Source organism: Homo sapiens, chromosome 18, assembly GCF_000001405.40.
Source record: "Homo sapiens chromosome 18, GRCh38.p14 Primary Assembly".
NCBI classification, from domain to species: Eukaryota; Metazoa; Chordata; class Mammalia; order Primates; family Hominidae; genus Homo; species Homo sapiens.
Window position 1 is genome coordinate 74,324,028 of NC_000018.10, and position 25,603 is coordinate 74,349,630.

General features: G+C 36.0%; 1 protein-coding gene across 1 annotated transcript in view, besides 1 other annotated feature; it reads left to right on the top strand.

Annotated features, from left to right (window-relative positions):
* C18orf63 (chromosome 18 open reading frame 63) overlaps window positions 1-25,603 on the top strand; it is a 43,351-nt gene that overhangs the window by 8,189 nt on the left and 9,559 nt on the right. The window contains exons 5-11 of the mRNA NM_001174123.2: window positions 3,920-4,031; window positions 4,968-5,009; window positions 6,839-6,915; window positions 14,688-14,797; window positions 18,005-18,101; window positions 18,214-18,299; window positions 19,492-19,675. Coding sequence (NP_001167594.1) covers window positions 3,920-4,031; window positions 4,968-5,009; window positions 6,839-6,915; window positions 14,688-14,797; window positions 18,005-18,101; window positions 18,214-18,299; window positions 19,492-19,675 — 708 coding nt within the window. The remainder of the gene's footprint in view (window positions 1-3,919; window positions 4,032-4,967; window positions 5,010-6,838; window positions 6,916-14,687; window positions 14,798-18,004; window positions 18,102-18,213; window positions 18,300-19,491; window positions 19,676-25,603) is intronic.
* Window positions 24,928-25,097: an enhancer, noted in NCBI's record as "experimental_50347 CRE fragment used in MPRA reporter constructs". NCBI's record gives its function as "activates a minimal promoter by MPRAs in K562 erythroleukemia cells, with activity observed for both the introgressed and non-introgressed 18:72016275 variant alleles {active_cell/tissue: K562}" and the evidence as "EXISTENCE:reporter gene assay evidence [ECO:0000049][PMID:34662402]".

The following is a 25,603-nucleotide window of genomic DNA, read 5'->3' on the forward strand; positions in this document are numbered from 1 at the left end:
CACCCTGAATTAGAATAAGCTAATTGTAAAATAAATGAATAAATTGCTGCATGAATACAAATTATAAAATAAATGTTCGTAAAGTATACAATAATCATACAGATGCACTACAGTAAATGACGCGGTACAAAAGCACTCAGGGAGCCTGTCATATTTGTGATTGTTTTGAACCGTGTGGTAGTAGGAGGTGCTCCTTACAATTTTCGCTTTGCAAACATTTATTCCTTGATTTTACCCACTGCCACTACTACCACTGTCATTCACTGATTCACCAAAAATTGGGTAAATAATTCTTACTTGTTTTTATTAATCTGTCTTAAATGTATGTATAGCTTACATTTATTTCAATGTTAATATTACAAGTGTTTTTGGTCTTTATTTAAAAGCTTGGTGATTTTTGGTGACCAGAACTATGCCATAGGAACTTTTATTTATATCAGCGTATAGTTTTAGCAATAGCCAAAACCAATATAACAAAATTGGTTTTGTTATATGTCATTTTGCTTAAAGTCATGGTTTGTAAGAACTTATCAATGACATTAAATGAGGACTTACTGTATTGATTTAATAAAGCAACATTTATACTAAGCATCATCATTTTTATGTGTACTTTACAAGAAAAAATGAAAAATTAAGAAAATATCACCCATAGTCCTTATACAATAATAAAAATGCTTTGTCCTATATTTTTCCTCCACCTTGTTAATTCACACCTGTGACTTCATCAGTACAAGCTGTCATATTTCCAAAATGTTTAAGATTTTTCTGTTTACACTCTTATCCTTTTTCCATGTGTCTCAGTTTCTATTCCTATAAACTAAATTTTTGTTACCTTCACTAGACTTTCCAACCCTGAATTCTTTATTATTCACAAGGTTTCTTCCAGTATCACTTGGTTTTCTACCCTCATTGAGCCTTTATGGTTATGCTCAGTTTTTCTTTATATGAATACTTTTCACATAATCATAATCAGCAGATATTTATTGAACATCTGTAACATGTCAAGCACTCTACTTGATTCTGGGGATAAAGCTGTGAACCAGATAAAGTCTCTGCCCTTGGTAATCTTATAGGTCTTATTTTTCTAGTTTCTTATTGTGGAAGCTGAGGTCATTGATTTGAGAATTTCTTTGTTTTGTAATATAGAGACATTTCTTCCTAAACACGTTCGTGCTATATATTTCTTCCTAATCACGTTTTGTTTTGATTTTCTTCAGTTAAAAAACACGTTCTAATTCCTGTTTGATTTCTTTTTTGATCTATGGGTTATTTTGAAGTGTGTTATATAGTTTCCAAATATTTGAGGATTTTCCAGGGATCTTTTTGCTGTTGATTTCCAATGTAATTGTTGTTAGAGAATACGTTCTTTATAACTTGAATCTTTTTAAATTAATTGAGATTATTTTATGCTCCAGAATATAGTCTATCTTAGTAAATGTTCCTTGTCCATTTGAGAAGAATGAGTATTCTATGAATGTGTCATCAAGTATTCTGTAAATGTTTATTGGGTCACATTGGTTGATAGTGTTTTTAAGTCTGCTATATTCTCACTTATGTTCTGTTCACTTGTATCAGTTATTAAGAGAGCAGTATTGAAGTCTTTACCTGTAATTATGAATTTCTCTGTTTCTCCTTGAAGTTCTATTCATAGCCCTTAGGCAATTGCTGCAAACTTTCCAAAATGAGGCTGCCCTTGGTTATTTTGGAGGAGTTTCTTAGAGAGATAACAATCCATTGTTCATGCCCATCCTGAAAGCAGTTTTCCCTGCAATGGGAGTCACTCACATAGAAAAGGTGGTAGAGAATTTGTCCTTGACTTTAGCTGAAGTGATAACTCACACCATCTTTGCACTGCAAGGCATCCAGGTCACCAAGCAGGATGGTTATGAATGACAGAATTGCCCCATACTTCCTCTTTGCATGCCAAGGCTGAGTCTGTGCTGATAGATTTTGCTGTATCTGGATTAATTCCTTGGGCCATAGAGAAAGTCAATACAGAAATTAAGAGAGAAATCCACCTGGCCTTCTGAGGAAGACCCTGGTGGTTTATGGGATTTGTACAGCTGTTTGGGTCTGGGCCCCTGGGGCCATGTTTGAGGTCAGCATTATGGAGTCCTAATGATAGTCCTTAATTAAATTCTGTATGAGACAAACTGAAGAAATTTGGTTCCATCCTCTGCCAATAGATTATTCAGTTATGTCCTGGAAACATTCACCAGAAGTCAAAATGGTACAAAAATTAGAGATGGATAATATTGGGAGACAATTTTCCTCGGCTTTCTCATGCTTCTGCATGTCCTTTTTCACAGAGGCAAAGCCAGCAATTTTTTCTGGACTGTATTTTCAAGGATGTTTATATGCCAAACAGCCTTGGCTCTTTCTCCAGCCTTGGGTAGCTTCCTCACATGTCTGTGCTAATCCATACTCAGCTGATTACTCAAAAGAGACTCTCTGTTGACCTCCAGAGTTTGCTTTCTGTGCAGCTCCCATACTTCGCACTGAAAACTCTAGCTTCCTAGACTCTCAGCTCTGTCTCCTCAATTCAGGGAGACTACTGGCCTGTTCCTAGGTTCCCCTGCTCTGTACTGCAGCCTAGAAACCCTCTATCATCAAGAAGCTGGGGAAATCCTAGGACTTATCTTGTTCATTTCCCATCTTTTGGGGATCACTTTTCTTTGTTGCCTGATGTCGGATATGTTGTGAACTGTTATTTCGTATAACTTGCCTGGTGTTTTAGGCATTTCAAGTGGGAGGATAAATCTGGTTCCTATTACTTATTGGTCTTAATTTTAAGTGAAAATCTTAATTTTTAAAATTAATTTTGTATTATACAAATAGAGATATTCTCTTGGTTGCGTGTGCCCATGTAAGTATGTATTGTTTTCTACAGTTGTGGCAGGCAAGGTCTCACTAACTCAGGCCTCCATTACAACTGTCCCAGCACTGACTGAGTAGCAAGGTTAAACATTAAAAGCTAATTGAGCCCATGCCCTTATACAAAGGCTGGAATGTAACAAAGAGCCCACCAAGAGTTTTGCCTAGGCTTTTCCTGGGCCTTGAAGCATGACAAGATAACGAAGGAATTCTTAACCGGACCCTTTTAGGATTAAACAAGTTTTATTGTGAGTCTGAAGAAACTCCCCAGGCCTCCATAAACAAGTTTATTGGGGTCTAAAGGAACTCCCCAAACCTTTATGATTTAGCAGGAGACAAGATAAGGGTAGTCACCTCAGCACCTAGACCCATTTAGATTAAGTAAACTTAATGAGGCTCCACAGGAAGGTCTTCAGGACTCAGACCTTAGTTATAGATTAAAAGAAGTTAATCACTTATGTCTTTAGATAAATGCACACTTACACATAGACATATAGCTTAGAAGGTGTATAAGCTCTGGAAAACTTTGTAATTTTGAGTTTGTCTGGCAATAATTTCCAGGCCTTCTCCTTGTAACCAGTTGCAGAAAATAAAAACTCTCTTCCTCCCCAGTTCATTTGCATCTCGTTATTGGGCTGCAAGAAATAGCAGCCCAACGTTCAGTTTGGTCCAGGAACAGAGTGAACAATAATGAGAACGATTACAAGTTTGTCCTTGTTTGGATTTCTCTTTGTGGAGCAGAATACAAAGTGAAGATCAAGGGTTTTAGCACAGAACTCCCAAGATTTAGACTTACTGGCCAGGGTCAGCAGGTAGTATTTGGCCATGATAGCATGACAATAGTAGTGGTTTTGAAGTGAATATATTTTAACACTTCTTTAACTTTAGAACCAGATGGGATTAGCTCTAGCAATGGCTATAAGTTTTACCTAGAACACCCGAGTTTGTTGGGTGGTGATCTAAATGGGCAGTCATTTCCTATTAGTATATGCATACACAGCAATTGTTCTAAATTGGCCCATATTTTGCCATTTAATATTTTTAGATGGAGGCTCCACAAAGAGTAATTCCTGTAATTCTTCAGAACTGCCTGTCATATTCATTCATGGCTAGACTTGCTCCAGCCTGGAATAGAACTGGTCATCTCTTGATACAAGGTAACTTTATCTTTTTAGTCATTGGGGCTTTCTGAACTAGATTACGTCTGTTATGTGTGTATTAGTCTATTCTCATGCTGCTAATAAAGACATACTGGAGACTGGAAAATTTATAAAGGAAAGGTTTAGTGGATTCACAGTTCCACATGGCTGGAGAGGCCTCACAATCATGGCGGAAGATGAAGGAAAAGCAAAGGGACATCTTACTTGGCAGCAGGCAAGAGAGCATGCTCATGGGAACTCCCCTTTATAAAACCATCAGATCTCATGAGACTTATTCACCATCATGAAAACAGCACATGGAAGCCCCACCCCCATGATTCAGTGATCTCCCACCGGGTCCTTCCCACAACATGTGGGAATTATGGGAGCTACAATTCAAGATTCAGATGGGGACACAGCCAAACCATATGAATGTGCATCTGTTCTTAATTTTAAGATATACAATTTTTAGAAAATAACTCTTAAAACTGACCCAATTAAGCAATCTCAAGCAAGCCCACAACAACATAAATGTCATTTCTTTACTTTGGGATTATATACAGAGGCCTGATGTTTCTTTAAAAAAATCAGTATGTAATACTTGATACTTAGGAATAAATGTAAGTTACAAAGCAGTATGATAAAATGAGCACAATACTGTTAAAACTGAGAAGCTATCCTGAATTTTTCTTGAAGTCTGACTGTTTTCTAAATATTTTATAGCAGGAAATAGACATTTGGGGGAAGAATTGGGTATTTCCATTCTTTTAATTGAAGAGATACCTTTTGAATGATTATATTTTTTCAGCTGTCATCAGGTATTACTTTATATAACAACTGCATTTTAAAGTATTTTCTTTAGCTTTGATAATCTCACATCAAGCATAGTTATAAATATCAAGCATGATTATTTATGAGTTGTAATAACATGGCATATTCTATGAATTTTTTAAGGAAGAGATTTTCTTTCTCAGATGGGAAAACAAAGTGCTGTTGGTAAGTAAAAATGCATAAGTCAATAGATAAAACAATATAATTCATAGTTGCTAAAGAAAACAGTATCATATGCTGGGCACAGTGGCTCACGCCTGTAATCCCAACGGTTTGGGAGGCCAAGGTAGGTAGATTGTTTGAGCCCACAAGTTCAAGACCAGCCTGGGCAACATGGTAAGACCCCATCTCTACAAAATTATTAGCCAGGCACCACACCTGTAGCCCCGTCTACTTGGGAGGCTGAAGTGGAGAGCCAGTTGAGCACAGGAGGTTGAGGCTGCAGTGAGCCATGATTGTGCCACTGCATTCCAGCCTGGGTGACAGAGCAAGACCCTATTTCAAAAAAAAAAAAAAAAAAAAAAACCAGTAACATAGATCATTGGGTTGTATAATTATTGATTAATTAGGTTGTATAAGACCTTAATCAGATATTATTGTAATCAGAATTTCACCTGGGAAATCACTTCTTATTCAAAATGTACATTCTAGACTGTATGAGAAAAATTCATCTTAATTGGAAAAAGCTATATTTTTATTCTCTCTACTTTAAAGAAAATCATGACTGTGAAGGAGTTTAATTCTGTAGGCATTTATAATGTATAGTTTCCAGAATCATATCATCAAAAATTCTTTAGTACTGATGTAAGTCAAAACTTTATTTCTTATAAGAATAGGATTCATTTTCTCCTTAAAAAATTGGAAAAAGAGACACAGATGATCTAAAGTATACAGTTTACTACATGGCCTAATCCAGTTCTTTCATTGATTTGCACAGTTGTGTTTCAGATAGACACTTTCCTAAACAGTAGTCCAGAGATAGCAGATAGATGATAATCCTGAGTCACCACCGTAGACATTATTAATCAATCATGGTAGCTTTTCACATCATTTGGGCATAGCCTTAAAATCCTGACCTGTAATCTACAGCTATTAGATCTGGGTTGACTTTCCAGCTGAAGCCTGTTTGCTCTCCTTGCACTAGTTGTATGTTTAATTTGTGTAGTGTCAGTCAGTGTGCCCTACCTCTGGGTGAATGGGTTCATTACCTACATCTAGTTTCATCTCCAAACACTGTCATGAGACTACAACTGTAGGGATTAAAAATAACAGTTTAGGAGAGGAAAATTCCTCACTCCTGTGTTAGGATTTGTTTTCTTTTACTTTTATTGAAATGTAATACACAAATTTTAAGTGTCTAGCTCATTGAATTTTAACAAACTAAACATTCTTGTAACCATTTCTCAGATCAAGAAACAACATTAAGAGCACCCCAGAATCCCCCTCATGCTTTTTTCATGTACTAACCCTTCCCAAAGTCACCACTATCCTGACATTTCAGAAGTAGTTTTCTTTATGAAAAAGAAAGGTAAAGACTTCAAGGCTCTAGGAGATTTGGAATATATCTGCCAGTATATTTGAGGATATTTGTTAGTAAAAGACTACTCAAGTCAGAAACATGGTGTGATACCTCTTTAGATTACAGAAGAGGACAATCTCCATATTTATATATATAATATATGTCAGATTTGTGTAAGGTATTTGTTGGATTTTTCTCTTAACTGTGGGGTGTCTCATTTTTTTTATTCTAACCTTGCCTATGACCTGCACCCCCCACACACATTCATGCTGTTTCATACCTTTGTCCTCTTTTAGATGTCTCATCTGTAAAGTGTCAAATATTAAGTGGTTATTATTTGAATTTTACCATGTGCGGAAAAAAATCTGTTCTTGTTTTTGACTTGAATAAGTTAGTTTCCTTTGTTACTAAAATACTTAATTTAATAGTAGAGTAATAATTCCAGGTAGTTCACAGTTAAATATTTTATTTTCAGTATTAAACATCAATGTAACAGAAACTCAAGTTTGTCTAAGTATAGAAGCTTGCACAATCAGACTGCCAGCACCTGAGGTACCATATATTGTGATTTCTATACTTTATTATATTTACTATATACTTTTTATATTTATTATTGTTACTAACGTGATTAGGTTTTAATTTTTAACATAAAGCGTGCTAGAAAGGTTTTTATTATCAAAATCTGTATTATTAAATGCTTGATATATTTATGTCATTCTAAATCTGCTTCCCCAAAGAAAATATTGTTCTGTCCATTTAACACAGGTCTTCATATTATTCCTTTGTTCAAAAACTTTGTTAAGATGGTATCCGAGACTCTCCACAACCTATCCTGTCTTAGCACCCACTTCTTGCCTCTTCTTTCACCTCCAAATATAAAAAGCATGATTTCAGCTCTTACTAAATTTAATATTAATTCCCCTGCCCTTGATATTCTGGTAGCATTTTTTTGCATCTATTTTTTACACATAACACTTTCTGTCTTCTTAGTAGAAGGATATGTCTTTTATTTTGTGGATTCCCATAGCACCTAGCATAGAACCTTACACACTAGTGTCACTCAATGTTATTGTCTTTCCTCTAGGCCAGTAGTTCTCAATGGAAGCGGTTGAGGGCAGGGAAATGAATGATTGGCTCCTTATGAGAAATTTGGCAATGTCTAGAGACAATTTTGGTTATCACAGTGGAGGAAGGATGGTGTTGCTACTGACATCTAGTGGGTAGAGGCCAGAGAAGGGATGCTAATGAATATCTTCCCCTGCACAGGACAGCCATCTTATCCCCACCCACAGAATTATCCAGCCCAAAGTGTCAATAGTGTGGAGGTTGAGAAACCCCAGGCATAGAACAAATGATGCTTTCTTTGCTTAGAATGCCCCTCTGATTGGCTATACGTGTCCTGCTCATCATTTAAGGGCCAACTCAAATGCTACTCCTCTATTCATTTATTTCCATTTAATTCTTTGATTACCTCTTATGTGGATAAGTAACAAAGGACAATGGATAAGTTCAAGATGAATAGGATCTACTTTTCTGCCCTGGAGAATCACTTAAGCCAGTAGGGAAGATGACCTGCATATAAATAACTGGAATGGGTAACATGACATGTATATCTTGGACTGATGAGGAACCTTCCCAAGGTTCCAAACCGTGTGTGATCTCCCACCCTCATTTAAACCCTCATACTCTCCTGTACCAAACTGTCTTTGTTTTCTGTCGCTTAGAATACCTGAAATTGGGTAATTTGTAAAGAAAATGAATTTATTTATTAAAGTTATAGAGGCCATGTCTGGTGAGGACCTTCTTGCTTTCAGGGTCTCTCTGCTGAGTCCTGAGGTGGCACAAGGCATCACATAGCAAGAGGGCAGGGTGTGGAAGCTGAGGTCTCTCTTCCTTTTATAAAGCCATGAGTCCTACTCCCATGATAAACCATTAATTCATTAACCTTCTAATCCACTAATCCATGAATGGATTAATCCATTCATGAGGGCAAAGCCCTCATCACTCAATCACCTGTTAAAGGCTCCACATTGGCTCAGCACGGTGGCTCACACCTGTAATCCCAGCACTTTGGGAGGCCGAAGTGGGTGGATCACGAGGTTAGGAGTATAAGACCAGCCTGGCCAAAATGGTGTAACCCTGTCTCTACTAAAAATACAAACATTAGCTGGGCATGGTGGTGCATTCCTGTAATCCCAGCTACTCGGGAGGCTGGGGCAGGAGAGTTGCTAGAACTGAGACCCAGGAGGCAGAGGTAGCAGTGAGCCAAGATCATGCCACTGCACTCCAGTCTGGGCTACAGAAGAGCAAGACTCCATCTTAGAGGGGAAAAAAAAAAAAAAGGCTCCATCTCTCAATACTGCCACATTGGGGATTAAATTCCAAAATGAGTTTTGGAGGGGACAGATAGTCAAATTGTAGTTTATACTCACATGCTTATTTCTATTTTTATACCTCTGATTTCCTTATAAGAAGCATCATGAAGACTAATATTGTGGCTTATTCAACTTTGAATTTTCTACAGATGATACTTCTGTGTTCTACACCTCAGTTTGAACCAATTTAGAGATTGACAGAGGAGTAAGACATAAATAGAGATCAGAATGTCACTTGTATTACTTGGGTGAGATTATAATTTATCCTCAAAATAGGATGCTTCTGAGAGTGAAAGTGGCACTAACCTGATGAGATACTGGCCCAACATGCATGAACTGGGATATATAGTCATGCTGTTCATTACTGGAAAGGAAAAACAGCTCTTGGAGGACATGGTTTATCTGAACCTTAGAATTAGGCAGACTTACCCACCCACTTATTGCAGTAGTGGAAAAACCTTAGGCCTCCCTTGGGAGACCAGGCACTCGTTCTGATATGACAAACAGAATGCAGAACACCACTCTCTGCCAGCAGGCCAACTCCCAAGAGGAAGGGGAGGAGGTGAGCCAGCATGCCTGGTTATTCATCCCAATTTTACCATCTGTATTAGTCCATTCTCATGCTGCTCTGAAGAAATACCTAAGACTAGATAATTTATAAAGGAAAGAGGTTTAATTGACTCACAGTTCCTCATGACTGGGAAGGCCTTAGGAAATTTACAGTCATGGTGGAAGGGGAAGCAAGCATGTCCTTCTTCACAAGGTGGCAGGAGAGAAAAGTGCAGAGCAAAGGGGGAAAGGCCCTTTATAAAACCATCAGATCTCGTGAGAACACACTATCACAAGAACTGCATGAGGGTAACTGCCCCCATGAGTAAATTACCTCCCACTGGGTCCCTCCCACAACATGTGGGGATTATGGAAACTACAGTTCAAGATGAGATTTGGGTGGCAGTGCAGCCAAACCATATCACCATCCATATGCCCTAGGGAGGAATGAATGACAGAGCAGAATGATTCCAGGAATATGTGTTAGTAGAGCTTTCTGGGCATGGAAGGAAACACCAAAAATTGGGCAATAACATTCCTCTCCTCTATTCAACATTATACACTCAACATGTACTTGTTAAATTAAATCAATTCTCTAAATTATGATTGTTCATCAGCTTCTCTGAATCTCACTTTTACTTATGTTTTTGATATGATGTCTTACACATTCTGACTGCTACAAAAATTAGTTTCATATATACCTATGTTCCCACTAAATTGTAAAATTTTTGAGATTCTAGGTCCTGTGTTATTCATTTTTATTCCCCATGGAGCCTAAAAGATAATTGCATTTAATTTTCCTTTTATTAAAATCTGGCATTGGTTATGTTAACCAAAAAGTGACTGAGGCAGATCTCAGTTGACTCAGGTTTATTTTGCCAAGGTTGATGACATGCCCAGGGAAAAGAAATACAAGTTACAATAGGATCTGTGCCCCATGCTTTTTCCAAACAGGGTTTTGAGGACTTCAGTATTTAAAGGGGAAAGAACAAGCAGAAGGGGAAAGAGGAAGGGGAGAAAAGAGGAGGAGGGTAGGCAATGAGGCAAATGGTTACATTCTTGTGAGGCTTTGATTACAGCTGAGTGAATCTACATTATACACATGAAAAGGGGTAGCAGAAAAGTCAATTATGCATTTCTCTCACTCAGTAAATCTACATTTACAGTAATAAACTGAAACTAAGCTGTCTGGGAATGAAAGGAAGGCAGGGGTTTTTTGTTTGTTTTTTGTTTTTGTGTGATTCAGTTACCAAGCTTAATGTTCCCTTTGGCATAGTGAGTTTGGGGTTCTGAGATTCTGGTTTTTTTCTTTCATAGTTATTAGGTCAGGTTGTGGGGAGGGGAGAAATAAGGATGAAGAGGTGAGAAGGAGGATGTTTCTGGTTTCTCTTCCCTCCAGTTTATTTTGTTTGCTTTCATTTCCCCTTTCAAAAATCTACCATGGCCTCCATTGACTATAAGATGAAATCTCAGCTGTTTACTATGATATACAAGGTCTTCAGCAAACTGATCCAAACCAATCTTACTTATAGCCTCATCTCCCATTACTGCTCTCCAAGTAGCCAGACTATGAATTGTTTCTCAAAGATAGTATGGTCTTTCATCCTTCCATGTCTTTGATCTCACAGTTGTCTAAGCCTGTAATTCCCTTTCTTCTGCTCATCTTTCAAGGCTTATCTCAGACATCACCCCTTTGAAGAATTCCCCAGCTCCTAAGTCTCATCTCTCTTGGTGCTCTCTACCTTGTTTATCACATATTATCTATGCAAATGTCTCATTCAACTGAGAAGTCCTAGAGGGAAGGTCTGTGTCTTATTAATCTTTCTATCATAGGAGCCTACTCTAGTGCCTGTCACTCACTTTAGTAAAGATTTATGGAATGAATGGAGCATTGACTGGAGTGAAAGACTAATTTATTTTTTGAACTAGGTGACTTTTGTTTCTAAATTCTTTTTTAATTCCTCTGGGCTAGAGATTGGAGTAGTTTTCTAAATCCTGACCTTTGACCCTATTTAGACAAATTTTGAAGCAGTTTATTATAATTCATTATGAAAAATGGGATTTCAGCCCTTATCTTTACAATTTAAATAGAGATAAAAAAATTTAAGAGGTAATTGAAACAGTAATTTACTCATTTCTCAAATTTTGGACTGTGCTAAACTTTAAAATAATGCTTTCCTGGAAGTAATTAAATGTTTCTTAAAGGAATTTATATGCACAAGTTGCCATTTTACTGTTTGGTGCATTGAGATTATAATTGAATCCACAGTTACATGAGGGATATATTTCAGAAAAGCATTATGTAATATTAAACTGTTTGCTTTGAAATTTAATTATATGGAAAATTTGGGAAATGAGTGCCTCGAAACAAATTTCTATTTATTTCGTAGATGGATATTTACTGGGTACTACTATGTATATATGCCAAGTGCTGATGGAAAACACCTTTTCCTCCCAGAATGTTTTATCTAGGTCAGAAGAAAGAAGAGCATGCACACATAAAACTTACCAGAAGAAGGGAACATTTACTGAGTACTGGTTAATATTCACATACCCAGAAAATTCAGTGTAGGCCTAGAATCACATTAAAATTCTCAGATCGGCACTTACTGGCAGTGCCTCTTTGGCATGTTAGTTAATCTCGCAGAATCTCCATTTTTCTTATAAATTGGAGATAATGATATCCCTTCTAGGGTTGTAAGGAGGTTATGGTGTAAAGTACATTAAGGGCCTAGCATAGTACCTGGCAGTAGAGGTTAAAAAATGATAGCTATTGTTATTATTTTATAAATAAGTAAATTAAGACACAAAGCAGTTAAGTAAGTTGCTCTGGATCATAAAGGTAGTAAGAGATTCAGGATCTGAGTTTGTCCTTCAACTCTGTCCTTTCTGCTGTACCATGCTTCCTTCACCTAGCCTTAGGTTTTTTGGTTCAAATTTGTATGTCCCATAGAGCCTTACAGAAATAGAAACCTAATATATGTTAAATAAAAATACATTAAAAAACAATGTTTGTTAATGGAGTATCAAAATTTGTGTTATAGGAACTATGTTACTTGAGGAATTAAGAGAAAAAGAAAATGTCTGAGGGAATCATATGTGAAATCTTTGAAACACTTATAATATTTTTCACACTTTTCTTCTTGAAATAATCTCCTCTCTTGATTTATCTGAAACTGATTTTTCTAGAATCTCCTGGAATTCATTTATCTTCATTCATTTATCATTTTAAATGTTGCTGTTTCTTAGGGTTCCATTTTCAGCCCTCTTTTCCTTAGCAGGCTTACCCATTTCAGTAGCTTCAGCCTATACACCAGTACCTCCCAAATATTCTTGTATAGTTGTAACTTTTCTGTCATCTCTTGGATACTTTCAAATGAATGTACTAATGGCAGTCAGACCCAATTATGTCTAAAACTGAATGTATTTATGTGTCACCTTCCTCAACCCCAAATCTGTTCCCCCTGTGTAATTATTCTTTTCATTAGTGGCATCAGCAGTCAATAATTTACCTACCTAAATACTTCAGAGTTATCCTTGGCTTTCCCTCTTTCTCACTTTCTCTTTCCAGTTAGTCTTTAATAGCCTACTGTGGTCTCTGAAATGGACTCCTCTCTGCCTCCATTTATGTTGCTCTAATTCAGACTCTCTTTTTTTACTTGAACTATTAAACCAGTCTCCATATGGGCCTGTTTCCAGCCTTTCTCCTTCAAGTTTATTATCTAATTTTTCCTTACAATGTCAACAGAGTTCACTTTCTAAAACAAAGGTCCCCAGCCTAAATATCTTTAGTATTTCAACATTGCCTAGAGAAAATTAAGTCTAAATTGTTCAGATTGGCGTTATAAGGAGAAAATAATATTTATTGAATACCTGCTTTTCAGTATGGTTTTAGTCATCATATAAGGGCACTTTATAAATATTTGCTAAATAAAGAAATACAAAGGGTTAGCATTCGCAGTCTCTTGGAGTATATGGTGAACAGCTGGGTGGTTTGCCAGTCTTTAATCTGTGTTGAGAAAGACCAATGTAAACAATAAGTACTGGTACTTACTGAGGTCCCTGCAGCAATCGACTTGAGTCTCTGAATACTGTAGAAAGTACCCAGAGGATGTATACTCAAGCTATATAAGTAGGTGTATGTGGGAACCCATAAACTTTAAACATTTGAACCTGATACCTACCTTCTGTGAATTCAATTTTAAGTTCTGTTTTCTCTCAGTTTAGTCCTCCCTCTGCAACCAGTCTTTTCTGACATTCATAACCATGCCTCCTCTAACCATGTTTTTATCACACATTTCAGGCAACTGATCTCTTAAGCACAGTACATCACAGTGCAAGATTTATCTCTTGTGCACAGGAAAATATGTGTCCTTATTCATTCTGCGTGTCCTTGCTCTTTTACCTCACAACGTAACTAGCATATCTTATCTTCCTCTTCCTGCATTCATGTTTTCTGCTCTTCCCTGCTCCTCCATTTCCATTAGTCTTAATGAATGACATAGGAACTCAGAGAAGGATCAGTCACTGGACATGGAGAAGATGGGTCTAGATCCAGGCATTAGGACCTTATTGGTAGGAGTCCAGGCAATAAAAAGTTGTCCAGTTTAGTTGGACTTCCTTGAAAAGTAGTAGGCAGCGAAGTTAGAACATTGTTTCCCAAAAGATGTTAGGTGGTTGGTTAAGAATGGGGTAAGGGTTTATGAATCATTCTGTCTAATGTTAATATAGTGTCCTTTCACCCATTAATACTTTATTTTTTCACCCTCCTTGAGGTCTCTTTATATCTTTGGCTAACTGGAACAGTGCCTCTCAGGGAGATTTTCCAGGGTAAGAGAGCTGTAATTGGCAAACTCTTGTAGGTTAAATACAAGCCAAAATGCCCTACAGGGAGGACACTTGAGGAACAGGGAAGAAAGTGTTCTAGGAAGCTGGGAGGGGTATAAAAGGAGACTGGAGCATTGGCTCTGTCTTTTCTCCTCCAAAAGACCAGATGGAGGTATAATTCCCTTACTCATCCTCCATTTAAAAAAACAATTGAGGTTAAAAGCTATTATTTTAAAATATGAACACCTTCCTTTGGAAGAGATTCAACTTCCTGCAAATTAACATAATTAAAAAAACCACCTGAAAACCAACTAAAATCACTGCAAAATAGGAGTTTGGGCTTGGATGGTAAGAGGGAAAGCATGAAATACTTCATATATTGTATAAAGGAGAAGCAGGGTGAGCTGCAACTTTGACTACTTATGTAAAGTGGTTATGCATGATTCAATGTAACTTAAGTCTTTAAATCTACTTTATAACCTACTGTGTGTGTGTAACAAATATGTATCTTTTAAAATGTTTCCTTTTTTGCCAAATGATTTGAGGACTTACAAATCTTATTTCTATTAAAAGCTAAAAGAGTTTGAGATTTCCCAGAGTATTATAAAGGATTTTCATGCTAACAAGCATGCTGTCATTGAGAGACATTCCATTTTAAGCAACTGGTGCTACGTTTTGCCAAGGTGAGATTTCAATTTGTAATATCTAGGGTGGGTTCAAAATATGGTGGTTTCCCTTATTTTGCTTTCTTAACATTGATATGTGTAAAAGTATAAACTATTTTGGTGAATTTTAAAATACTGAATTATGACTTCACAAAGGTATTGAAACAATATTGTCATATTTACAAAAGCCATGAATTTTCTTTATCAAATTAATAATTTTATTATATATTCACATCTTATTAGATCTAGTTTCAAAAAAGGTAATATTTCTAAATTTCTCATTATAAAATGAAAACTATCAAAATAATATTAATAAAACCTCATAAACTTATATCTAATAATGATTCATTATAATTTGATATGAGCTGAGTTTTGAGTTTGTACTATTTTCAGGAAAAAATAATTTGTTACTAGTATAAGCAGGACTATTGGGATAAAATTTTAAATTGCTTAGGAAAAAGAACTTCAGTAGCATACACATAATAATTCAATCATTGAAGCTGGGAGGAGGTAGGTAGAAAACATAGGTTTGACTCTCTTTACAGACTTTTCCCTAAAGTCTAACAATTACCAGCAATATCTTTGGGTGGAAAAATTTATTAGTCATTATTTTGTGCTTACAATTGGCACATTGTTTACAAAAATCTAATTTAGTTTTTTCTAGTAATTCTAGTTGTTAAAATATAATACAAATAAAGGCCATATATGACAAACCTGTAGCTAACATCATACTCAACAGTGAAAAATTGAAAGCTTTTTTCTCTAAAATCAGGAACAAGACAAGGATGCCCACTCTCTCCACTTCTGTTCAACATAGTACTAGAAGTCCTAGCTAGAGCAGTTAGACAAGAGAAAGAAATAAAAGGCATCCAACTTGTAAAGGAAGAAGTTAAATTGTTGCTGTATGCAGGTGACATGATCTTATGTATAGAAAACCCTAAAGACTCCACAAAAAAACTGTTAGAACTAATAAACAGATTCAGTAAAGTTGCAGAATACAAAATCACATAAAAAAGTAGCATTTCTATATACTAACAACAAACTATCTGTAAAAGAAATCAATGAAAATAATTTTGTCTGTAACAGCTACCAAAAACATACTTAGCAATAAATTTAACAACCAAGGAGGTGAAAGACCTGTACACTGAAAACTACGTATCTGTGAAAAAGCACAGACAACAAAAGCAAAAATAGACAAATGTGGTTACATCACTGAAAAGCTTCTATATGGCAAAGGAAACAGTCAACAGAGTGAAGAGACAACTTACAGAATGAGAGAAAATATTTGTAAACCATACATCTGATAAAGAGCTACTATCCAAAGTATATAAGGAACTCAAATAACTCAATAGCAAGAAAACAAATAACCTGATTTTAAAATGGGCAAAGCCCTCGAATAACATTTCTCAAAAGAAGATATTTAAGTGACCAACAGGTGTATGAAAAAATGCTCAACACCACTAATCATCAGGGAAATGCAAATTAAAGTCACAATGAGCGATCACCTCATACCTGATGAATGGCTATTATCAAAACGACAAAATATAACAAATACTGGCAAGGATGTGGGGAAAAGGGAACACTTGGACACTGTTGATGAGAATGTAAATTAGTTCAGCCATCATGGAAAACACTATGGAGGTTCCTCAAAAAATTAAAAATAGAACTATCTTATGATCTAGCAATCCCACTGCTGGTGATACATACAAAAGAAATTAAATCAGTATGTTGAAGAGATATCTGCACCCCCATGTTCATTTCAGCATTATTCATAACAGCCAAGATGTGGAATCAACCTAAGTGCCCAGCAACAGATGAATGGATAAAGAAGTATGTGGTATATACACAAATAGAATAGTAGTCACCCTTAAAAGAGAAGGAAATCCTGTCATTTGCAACATGGATGAATCTAAGGAATATTATGTTAAATGAAATAAGCCAGGCACAGAAAGACAAATACCTTATGACCTCACTTCCTTGTGGACTCTAAAACAATTGAACTCTCAGAAGCAGAGAGTAGAATAGTGCTTACCGGGGCTGGGTAGGTGGGAGTGAAGGAGTGGATTGGGGAGATGTTGGTGAAAGGATACAAAATTTCAGTTATATAGGAAGGATAACTTCAAAAGATCTGTTGTACAGCATACTGACTATAGTTAATAAAAATGTATTAGGTTGGGGCCGGGCGCGGTGGCTCACGCCTGTAGTCCCAGCACTTTGGGAGGCCGAGGCTGGCGGATCACGAGGTCCGGAGATCGAGACCATCCCGGCTAAAACGGTGAAACCCCGTCTCTACTAAAAATACAAAAAATTAGCCGGGCGTAGTGGTGGGCGCCTGTAGTCCCAGCTACTTGGGAGGCTGAGGCAGGAGAATGGCGTGAACCCGGGAGGCGGAGCTTGCAGCTTGCAGTGAGCCGAGATCCCGCCACTGCACTCCAGCCTGGGCGACAGAGCGAGACTCCGTCTCAAAAAAAAAAAAAAAAAAAAAAAAAAAAAAAAAGTATTAGGTTGGTGCAAAAGTAATTGCAGTTTTTGCTATTGAAAGTAATGGCAAAAATCGCAATTACTTTTTTTACATACATATTAAAAATCACTAAGAAGGGGTGAGGTGGCTCACATCTGTAATCCCAGCACTTTGGGAGGCCAAGGCAGGCAGTCACCTGAGGCCAGGATTGAGACCAGCCTGGCCAACATGGCAAAACCCTGTCTCTACTAAAAATACAAAAATTAGCTGAGCATAGTGGTGCACGCTTGTAATCCCAGCTGGCGGCTAAGGCAGGAGAATCGCTTGAACGATGGCTTGAACCCGGGAAGCAGAGGTTGCCATGAGCTGAGATCGCACCACTGCCCTCCAGCCTGGGCAACAGAGCGAGACACTGTCTCAAAAAATAAATAATAGCACTAAGAGTACATTTTAAGTGGTCTACCACAAAAAAAAAAAGTATGTGAGTAAATGCATGTTAATTAGCTCGACTTAGCAATCCACAATGTATACATATTTTGAAATATGTCATACATGATAAATAATATATACTATTTTTATTTGTCAATTAAAGCAAAATAAAAAGATTTAGTACAACGTGTTTGAAACTTGAGATGTTTAGTTTACTATATATAGCTAGTGAGATAGTTGTTGAATCTTTTTTGAACACTTTCTAAATCATGTAGTTGACTTATTAAACTATATTTAAGCATTGGCTCATAATAGCTTCCTCTCATTTTTCATAGTATGAAAATGGGACAAATTATAAATATTTTTCATGCCATCCCCGCTGCCTGTCCTTTTCACTCATATGGAGATTTCCAGAGACACTGGGATGCCCTGGTAAGGAATGGAAATATATGTTACATTAGAAGTTATTTGATTTTTGTTTATTGTAACTTAACCTAAGTTTAGCTTTCTCCAAGATATTTAAAATTTTGTGCTTAATTTTTAGTATGGCTATAAACTTCCAGGTGATTGTGGAAAAATTAAAATATACTGCAACATCTATTTCAAAATGCTCGGAGAAAGGACCTTCACATATCCTTTACACACCAACTGAAGCAGATGCTGTCTGCCCACCTTATAATCTAGTTTTGCTCCCACTCTCATGTCATACTTTTCAACCTTCTTTCTCTGTGTCTAACTGAAACTATGGTACATTTCCTCCTACTTCTTATCTGCACAAGTGTTTCTGGTTTGCTTAGAATATCTTCCTATTTTTATTTGAGGATGAGCTCAATAAGGATATTTTCCTTAAACACCATTTCAATAACTTAGAAAAGTTAGAAAAAAATGTGTACTTAGAAAGTAAGAAAGCAATCATGATTCTCCTTAGCCAAGTGCTCCCTCCAGTGGCATTTCAGATACAATTGAAAGGGTTGAATTAAAAGCTTAGGTTGTAAACAAAAACAAGATTTTTCTTTTGAGGAGATTATCTAATTTTATAGGCAAATTTTCGATGATTTGACTTATACTTAATTGCACCCCATTGACTTAAGAAAATATCTTTTAAACAATATTTTTTAAAATCGAAATATACACACGAGAAGAGCATAAGTGCTCAGGTGAAACTCTTAAATCTTAGTACTGATTTCACCATTTCCATCTTCTGACCTGCTGGAGTTTAAAAATGGAAGAAGGAAGAGCCTCAGTGTTGTCTTTTTGCGTTCTTTGTTTCCTAAGCCAAACTTATTTTAATAGTAAAACTGAGGTTAACATACATCAGTTATTTTATTTCATTAGATGCCAACATGTTATTCAAAATCTACAGAATATGTTTCATCAGAAAAAGTAACTGCTTTCTCAAAGAACTGCTTTTGCAGCTTGAATACAATCTATATGTGTTGTTTCTCTGTCCTGAATTTCTAACTGTTTTTGGAGGTGCAACCTGTTCATTGTTTATTATAATACTTATTTTGTAATTGCTAAGGCTTATAGTATCTTCCTTATAAATCGTTTTTGGAATATCACAGTTGCCTTTCCATTTAGAAAGCCATATAGTAAGATATTATGAATTGTCTTGATTTGGAATGTTAGAATAGAAGGAATGAAGATCCCTGTGAGAAAACATACTTTCATCTGTGGATGGTATCAGATAAGCAATATAAAAGAGTTAAGATATATTTATGTGTGCCTTTTTAACATTGCTACTTTACTACTTTTTAAAATCCCTTATAAATTTCTGCCTCTTATGTAATAAAATCAGACATTGTTCTTTAACATTGTTCAGATATCCTCTCAGTTGCATCAGAAGTCAGCCCATGCAGTTCTTTCCAAGGGTAGATTCGGAAGTTGTGTTGAAAAGTTTTCTTTCAGATTTAAAATCTAAACTGCCCCATATATGTGGATTTCCCATAAAGATGACAAGTAAACCATGCTACTACACACAAGAACTAACTAAACCTAATATACAGGTAAGAGATCTCTTGTCCTATCTAGTTCTCCAAGACATACTATCCATCTATTTTACTTGAATCTCTTGTCTTCTGGGGTGGAACACCCAACGCAGTGTGCAGTAATTCTTTTATCTCAGTTCAATGCTTCCCTAAAACTATTTGTTATTATTATTACTATACTTAGTCATTTGTTATTATTATTATATTTAACATGGTATTATAGTAGTAGTTGTTTACTGAAATGTTTCACCTACATCAAGGATATAAATGAGTTGGGTTATTGGAGATTAAAGAGACAGAGTTTTATGAAGAGTATTTATTTGGAGATACTGTGCTGACAGTATAAGTTCAGTTAAATGGAAGGTAAGATGCCTGCCCCTCACCAAATCAAGTAAGTTGGGGCTTCTATGGAACCACTTAGAGACTGAAGTATGATCCCTGCTGTATAAGGAAAACAGAGGGCTAGTGTCTGGCTCCTGTCTGATTTCATTAAGAAATTAATATAATTGGCTGTCTGCTAATGGACAAGTTAAAGATGAAATGGCCATATGGGCATTGGCCTACATCTCAGAGTTTGTCAGAACAAAGCTGTTGAAGACTTAACTTGAAATCAGATTCACGGTTTTTATTTTTACTGAGGCTGGAAACTATTGGGGAGGGAGGGTGTTTTCTACTGAGTTTGTCTCCTCTGCATTTTTAAAATCTATTCTTATGGTGACATATGACACACATATAGAAAAGTAATACTGTATAGCTTAATGAATATCAAACGTCCATGTAACTATCACACAGATGAAACATAGAACCTTGCCAGGACTTAGGAGCCTCCTACTTAACACCTTCCTAGTCATAACTCCTTTCCTCCTCCCAAAAGGTGACCACTACTATGGAAATTATTCCTTGTTTCGTTTTTATCAACTAAGTATGTGTCCTTAAACATCATATTTCATTTTGCATGCTTTTGAACTTCATGTAAAATAAATCATAGAGTATGTATTCCTTTGTGCCTGGCTTTTTAGGCTCAGCATCATGTTTGTGACATTCATCCACGTTGCTCCACTTAGCTATAGTCGGTTTATTTTCCTTTATATGTAGCATTTTATTATGTGATTATGCTGCAATTTATTCAGAATATTATTGATGAATATTTGGATTGTTTCTCTTTGGAGGCTATTACTAGTAATACTGTGATGAACATTCTTGTATATGTCTGCTGGTGCTCATGTACATGAAACCTCCAGGAGTAGAATTGGTATGGGTATTTCCAACTTTGCTGGCTACACCAAACTATTTCCCTAACCAATCTGTATTCCCCTCTGCCCCAAAGCAGTATAGGAGAATTTATGCTGCTTCACATCCTTGCCCATTTTTGGTATTGTTGGTCTTGAATTTCAGCCCTTCTGATAGGTGTATTTATTACTGTGTGTTTTTAATTTGCATTTTCCCGATTATTAATGAAATTGAACATCTTTTCACATGTATTTTGGCCATTTGGATTTTTTTTGAAATGCCATTCTTTCATTTTTCTACTGTGTTACGTGTTTGTTTGTTTTTTTATTGATTTATACGTATTTTTAACATAAGCCAGATATGAGTTTTTCATCAGTTATACATAATTATCTTCTTTCATTCTATAACATGCTTTCTCTCTTAAAGGTGTCTTGGTGTCTTAATAGTATCTTTTGGCAGCAGGTCCTAATTTATAATCAAAATGATCAGTCTTTTTCTTTATGGTTGCTACTTTTTGTACCCTGTTTAAAAAATCTTTCTGTACCCAAAGTCATGAAGGTATTCGCCTCTAATATCATCCAATAAAAGGTTGTTTTGCATTCACATTTAGATCTGCAATGCAGTTGGAATTTATTTTTGTAATGTGATGTAGGGAGTCAGATTTCTTTAATATGGATATCCATATGTCCAAGCCAAAAATAAAAAACACAATTCTTACCCCAGTACTTTTTCCCCAATAGTTTTTCTCCCCTCAGTACTTTGCAGCACTACCTTTGTCATAAATCCAGTGTCTTTGTGTGTATGGTATTGTTTCAGGCCTCTTTAATCTCTTTCTCTGGTCAGTTTGTTGATCCTAGCACCAGCACCATGCTTTTAGAATTATCTTAATTATGTAATCTTAAATTTTATATTTATTATAAATAGTGTTTTAATCTTAAATTTTATAAGATTTTTGAAATCTGATAAAGCATCTTATCTATTGATCTGTGCATTTCCATACACATTGAGTTTCAACTTGTCAACTTACACATAGACACAGACACACTCGTGCACACACACACATAGAGACAGAGAGAGCATGCTGGGATTTTGATGGGAATTTCATTGAGTCTTACAATCTAAGAATAGTGTATATTTCTCCACATATTAAATATATATTCTTTAATTTATCTCAATAATAGTTTATAACTTTATGTATGGGAAGTCTTTTGTACTTCCTATACATAAATTACTTCAAAATGTATTAATTACATGAATTATTTTAATATGTATTTATTAACTTTCTAAGATATGGGAATTTTCTAGCTATCTTTTTCTTATGTTTCTGGCTTAAATACATTATGACCTGTCAGTCAGTTGCTGAGAAGTGTGTTCTAATCTCCCAACATGATGTGGATTTATCACTTTTCCTACTTTCAGATTTTGCTTTATGTATTCTGAGACCACAATATTATATACATGTAAATTTAGAATTGAGAGTTGTTTATCTTCCTGGTCAGGGGTCAACTCCTCCTACTGTTAGTTAGAGAAAAATTGTACAAAAACCTGACAATCTAGATACAAAGGCCTACAGGCAAGGTCATCTCCTTAGAAGGGAGAGTGAGTGGACAAATGCCCATTGACATCTTTAAAACAGTATTAAAGTTTTGTCCAGACATAATATTTTTTAAAGTTGCAGGCCAAATATGAACCTAAAGAATCTGGAAGAAGATATGTTGTTACATCATGCATGTTTATTGAATATATTTCTGGAATACTTAAGATTTCCAGCCCATGTCTGTTTTAAAAATAGTTAATCAGAACAATGCACTTGTTAAAATTTGCTTCATAAGTGTAAAATAACACTTAATTGGAAGTTATGGTTTTATATTGTTCCTTACAATAAGAATTTATCCTACTCAATTCTATTGAGTGCTTTCTGCATGCCAGCTGCTTTTATGTGTATTATTTCATTTAATAATCAAAATTGATCTTTGGATAAAGAATTCACTCAATTTTGCAGAAGAGGAGACCGAAGCTCAGAACATCCAAATAATTTAACCAAAGCCACACAGTTAAATGCATTGCAGAATTAGAATTGAAACCCAAGATTCTTAGTCCTGTAATTGGAAAAAGTTTATATTTGTAGCTAAGAGCTCAAGCTCTAGAAACAGGCTGCCTGAATTTGAACCTCTTATTAATTGTATAATTTGGGACAAGTTATTTGATCTCTGTGTGCCCCAGTTTCCTCAGTTGTAAAATGAGGCAGAGGCTAGCGGTGGTAATGATAAAACTTGTCGCAGATTCGGTTCTCTAGGAGCTGATTCTGAGGTGGTCTAGTGCACATGATGTTTGTTAGGGACTGCCCTTGGAAACAATACCTGTGGAAGGCAGGGAGGAAGCAAGAGTGGAGAAAGGGAGAAGTCAAAAACAAAGCAGACACCAGATGGCCTTGGCCACTCTTCTGAGGAGCTCTGAGACTAAAATGGCCCATCAGAGTTGTTCTGCACTGGTCCAGATAGCCAGGCCTTTATAACCCTTTCTGTATCTGTCATTGGATTTGGGCCACCGTGAAACAGGCACATCCTTGGGCATTGGCCCTCTGTAACCTATTTCTGCTGACAGCACTCTACCAGAGGCAGTAAGTCCTTCCTTTGAAGGGGGTCATGTCTTTTGCAGTACTTACTTCAGAGGGGTTTTTAGGACTAAATGAGATAACACATAGAAAAGTTTCTTGGTGAGCTCTCAGTAAGTTGTTATTACTAGACCATATACATGTTAACTCTAAGATTCATGCAGTGTAAAAGGCATAAATTTAAAAAATGGAAAATAAATTGATCAGACTACTTGATAAAACTCAGCCAGCTTAAAAAAATTAGGAATCCTTAGTCAAACTTGTTTTGTTTTAACATATAGAAAATGTCAAAGATACATAAAGGAAATTAGTATAATCACCTCTCATGTGCTTCTCATCTAGTTTCCCCTTGACATATTTTTGGGTAGGGAGTAAACTGGGGGATTTTGGAACCAATCCCAGATATAGTGTTTTACCTGTAAAGACTATGGTGTACATTCTCTCTCATTTCAAAATATTTTTATATAACCCCTATGTTATTATTATACCTAACAGAATTAACAATAGTTTCTTAATATCTATTAAGTACTAGTTCACACTGAAGTTCCCCATTTATCTCACACAGACTTATTTTTAGGAGTTTTATTTAAATCAGAATCCAAAAAAAAGTCCACATAATTTTATGTATGTCTCTTAAATCTCTTTATTCTGTAACATCTCAAACTCTCTCCCCTTTTATTTAGGCCAGTTATTTGCTAGAAAACTAGATTGTTTTCCCTGGAGAATGTCCCATATTCTGAATTTGACTACTTCCTTGTTGTGTCATGTCACTTAAAGAAAATATTCTTCAAAAACCCATATGTCCTATAAACCTGTGGTTATATCTAAGCTTGACTGAATTCTGATTCAACTTGAAGCAAGCAAGAAATACACTGAGGTGGTGCAATGCACTGAACCAAATTTTGATCGATAAAACACTTTTGATTAGTCATCTTTGTCATTTCTCAAGTTTCATTTTCATTTAATTATTGCTTTAATATTAAGCTTCTGTGAAATATTCGTTCATATCTAAGTTCAAGCTTTTGGCCTTCTTCTATAATGTTGTGTTAATGTATAAAGTTACATAAGTTGTATATAAATTCTAGAAATTAAAATTCAACCAAGTTGCATTTGCCAATGACACTTGGCAGAATAATGATAATGATATAATAAAGCATATTTTTTTTGTTGGCTTGCGACTTCACAAAGCTGTAGTTTGTTGACTATTAAGTATATTTAAGTTCTGTGAATTATTTATCATCTCATCTGCTGTTTACATAGGCTCTTTTGTAGTCTTTTTATAAATTTGAATATAAACCTAGAGGTTTCCCCCTTTGAGCTATTTACTTTATCTTAAACGTTGAAAGAATGAGTAAATAATATATTGACAGTCTAGGCTAGGGAGCAAAAGAAACTTCTGGAAATTATGTTCACCATATGTATATTTCCAAAAGACAGCTGAAGAAGAAACAGTGTGTGAATATAAACATATTTCATATACCACACACATATTCTAGTACAGTTTTATGTTCGAATACAAATAACTTATATGAATCTGCCTATGAGTTTTCTTTTATCTCAAGTAGTAGATATGTTGTTTAAATGTTACTACAGTTTATAGAACCCAAGGGTCCAAACAGTGGGTGTTCTTTGCTTTTCTATAATTCATTTTAATTCTTTAACTTTTTTTCATGAAACGGAAAAAAATTCAATCTGGACACTTCAAAGTGACTCAGTCCCTTATGACAAAACATCTCTTTAAGGTAGAAATGTTCTTCAATCCAATTTAGGAACCCTTCTTCTCACGATAGCATCTGTGCAGAGAAACCTTGCATAGGATGAGGGCAGTGGTATGTGGTGAAGTGCACTGGTATGTTTGCCTAGTATGCTCTATAGCAGGGGTCCCCAACCCCCCAGGTCATGGACCTACCAGTCCATGGCTTGTTAGGAACCAGGCCACACAGGAGGAGGTGAGTAGCAGGAGAGCGAGCGAGCATTACCGCCTGAGCTCTGCCTCCTGTCAGATCAGCAGCAGCATTAGATTCTTGTAGGAGCACGAACCCTATTGTGAACTGCGTACACGAGGGATCTAGGTTGCATGCTCCTTATGAGAATCGAATGCC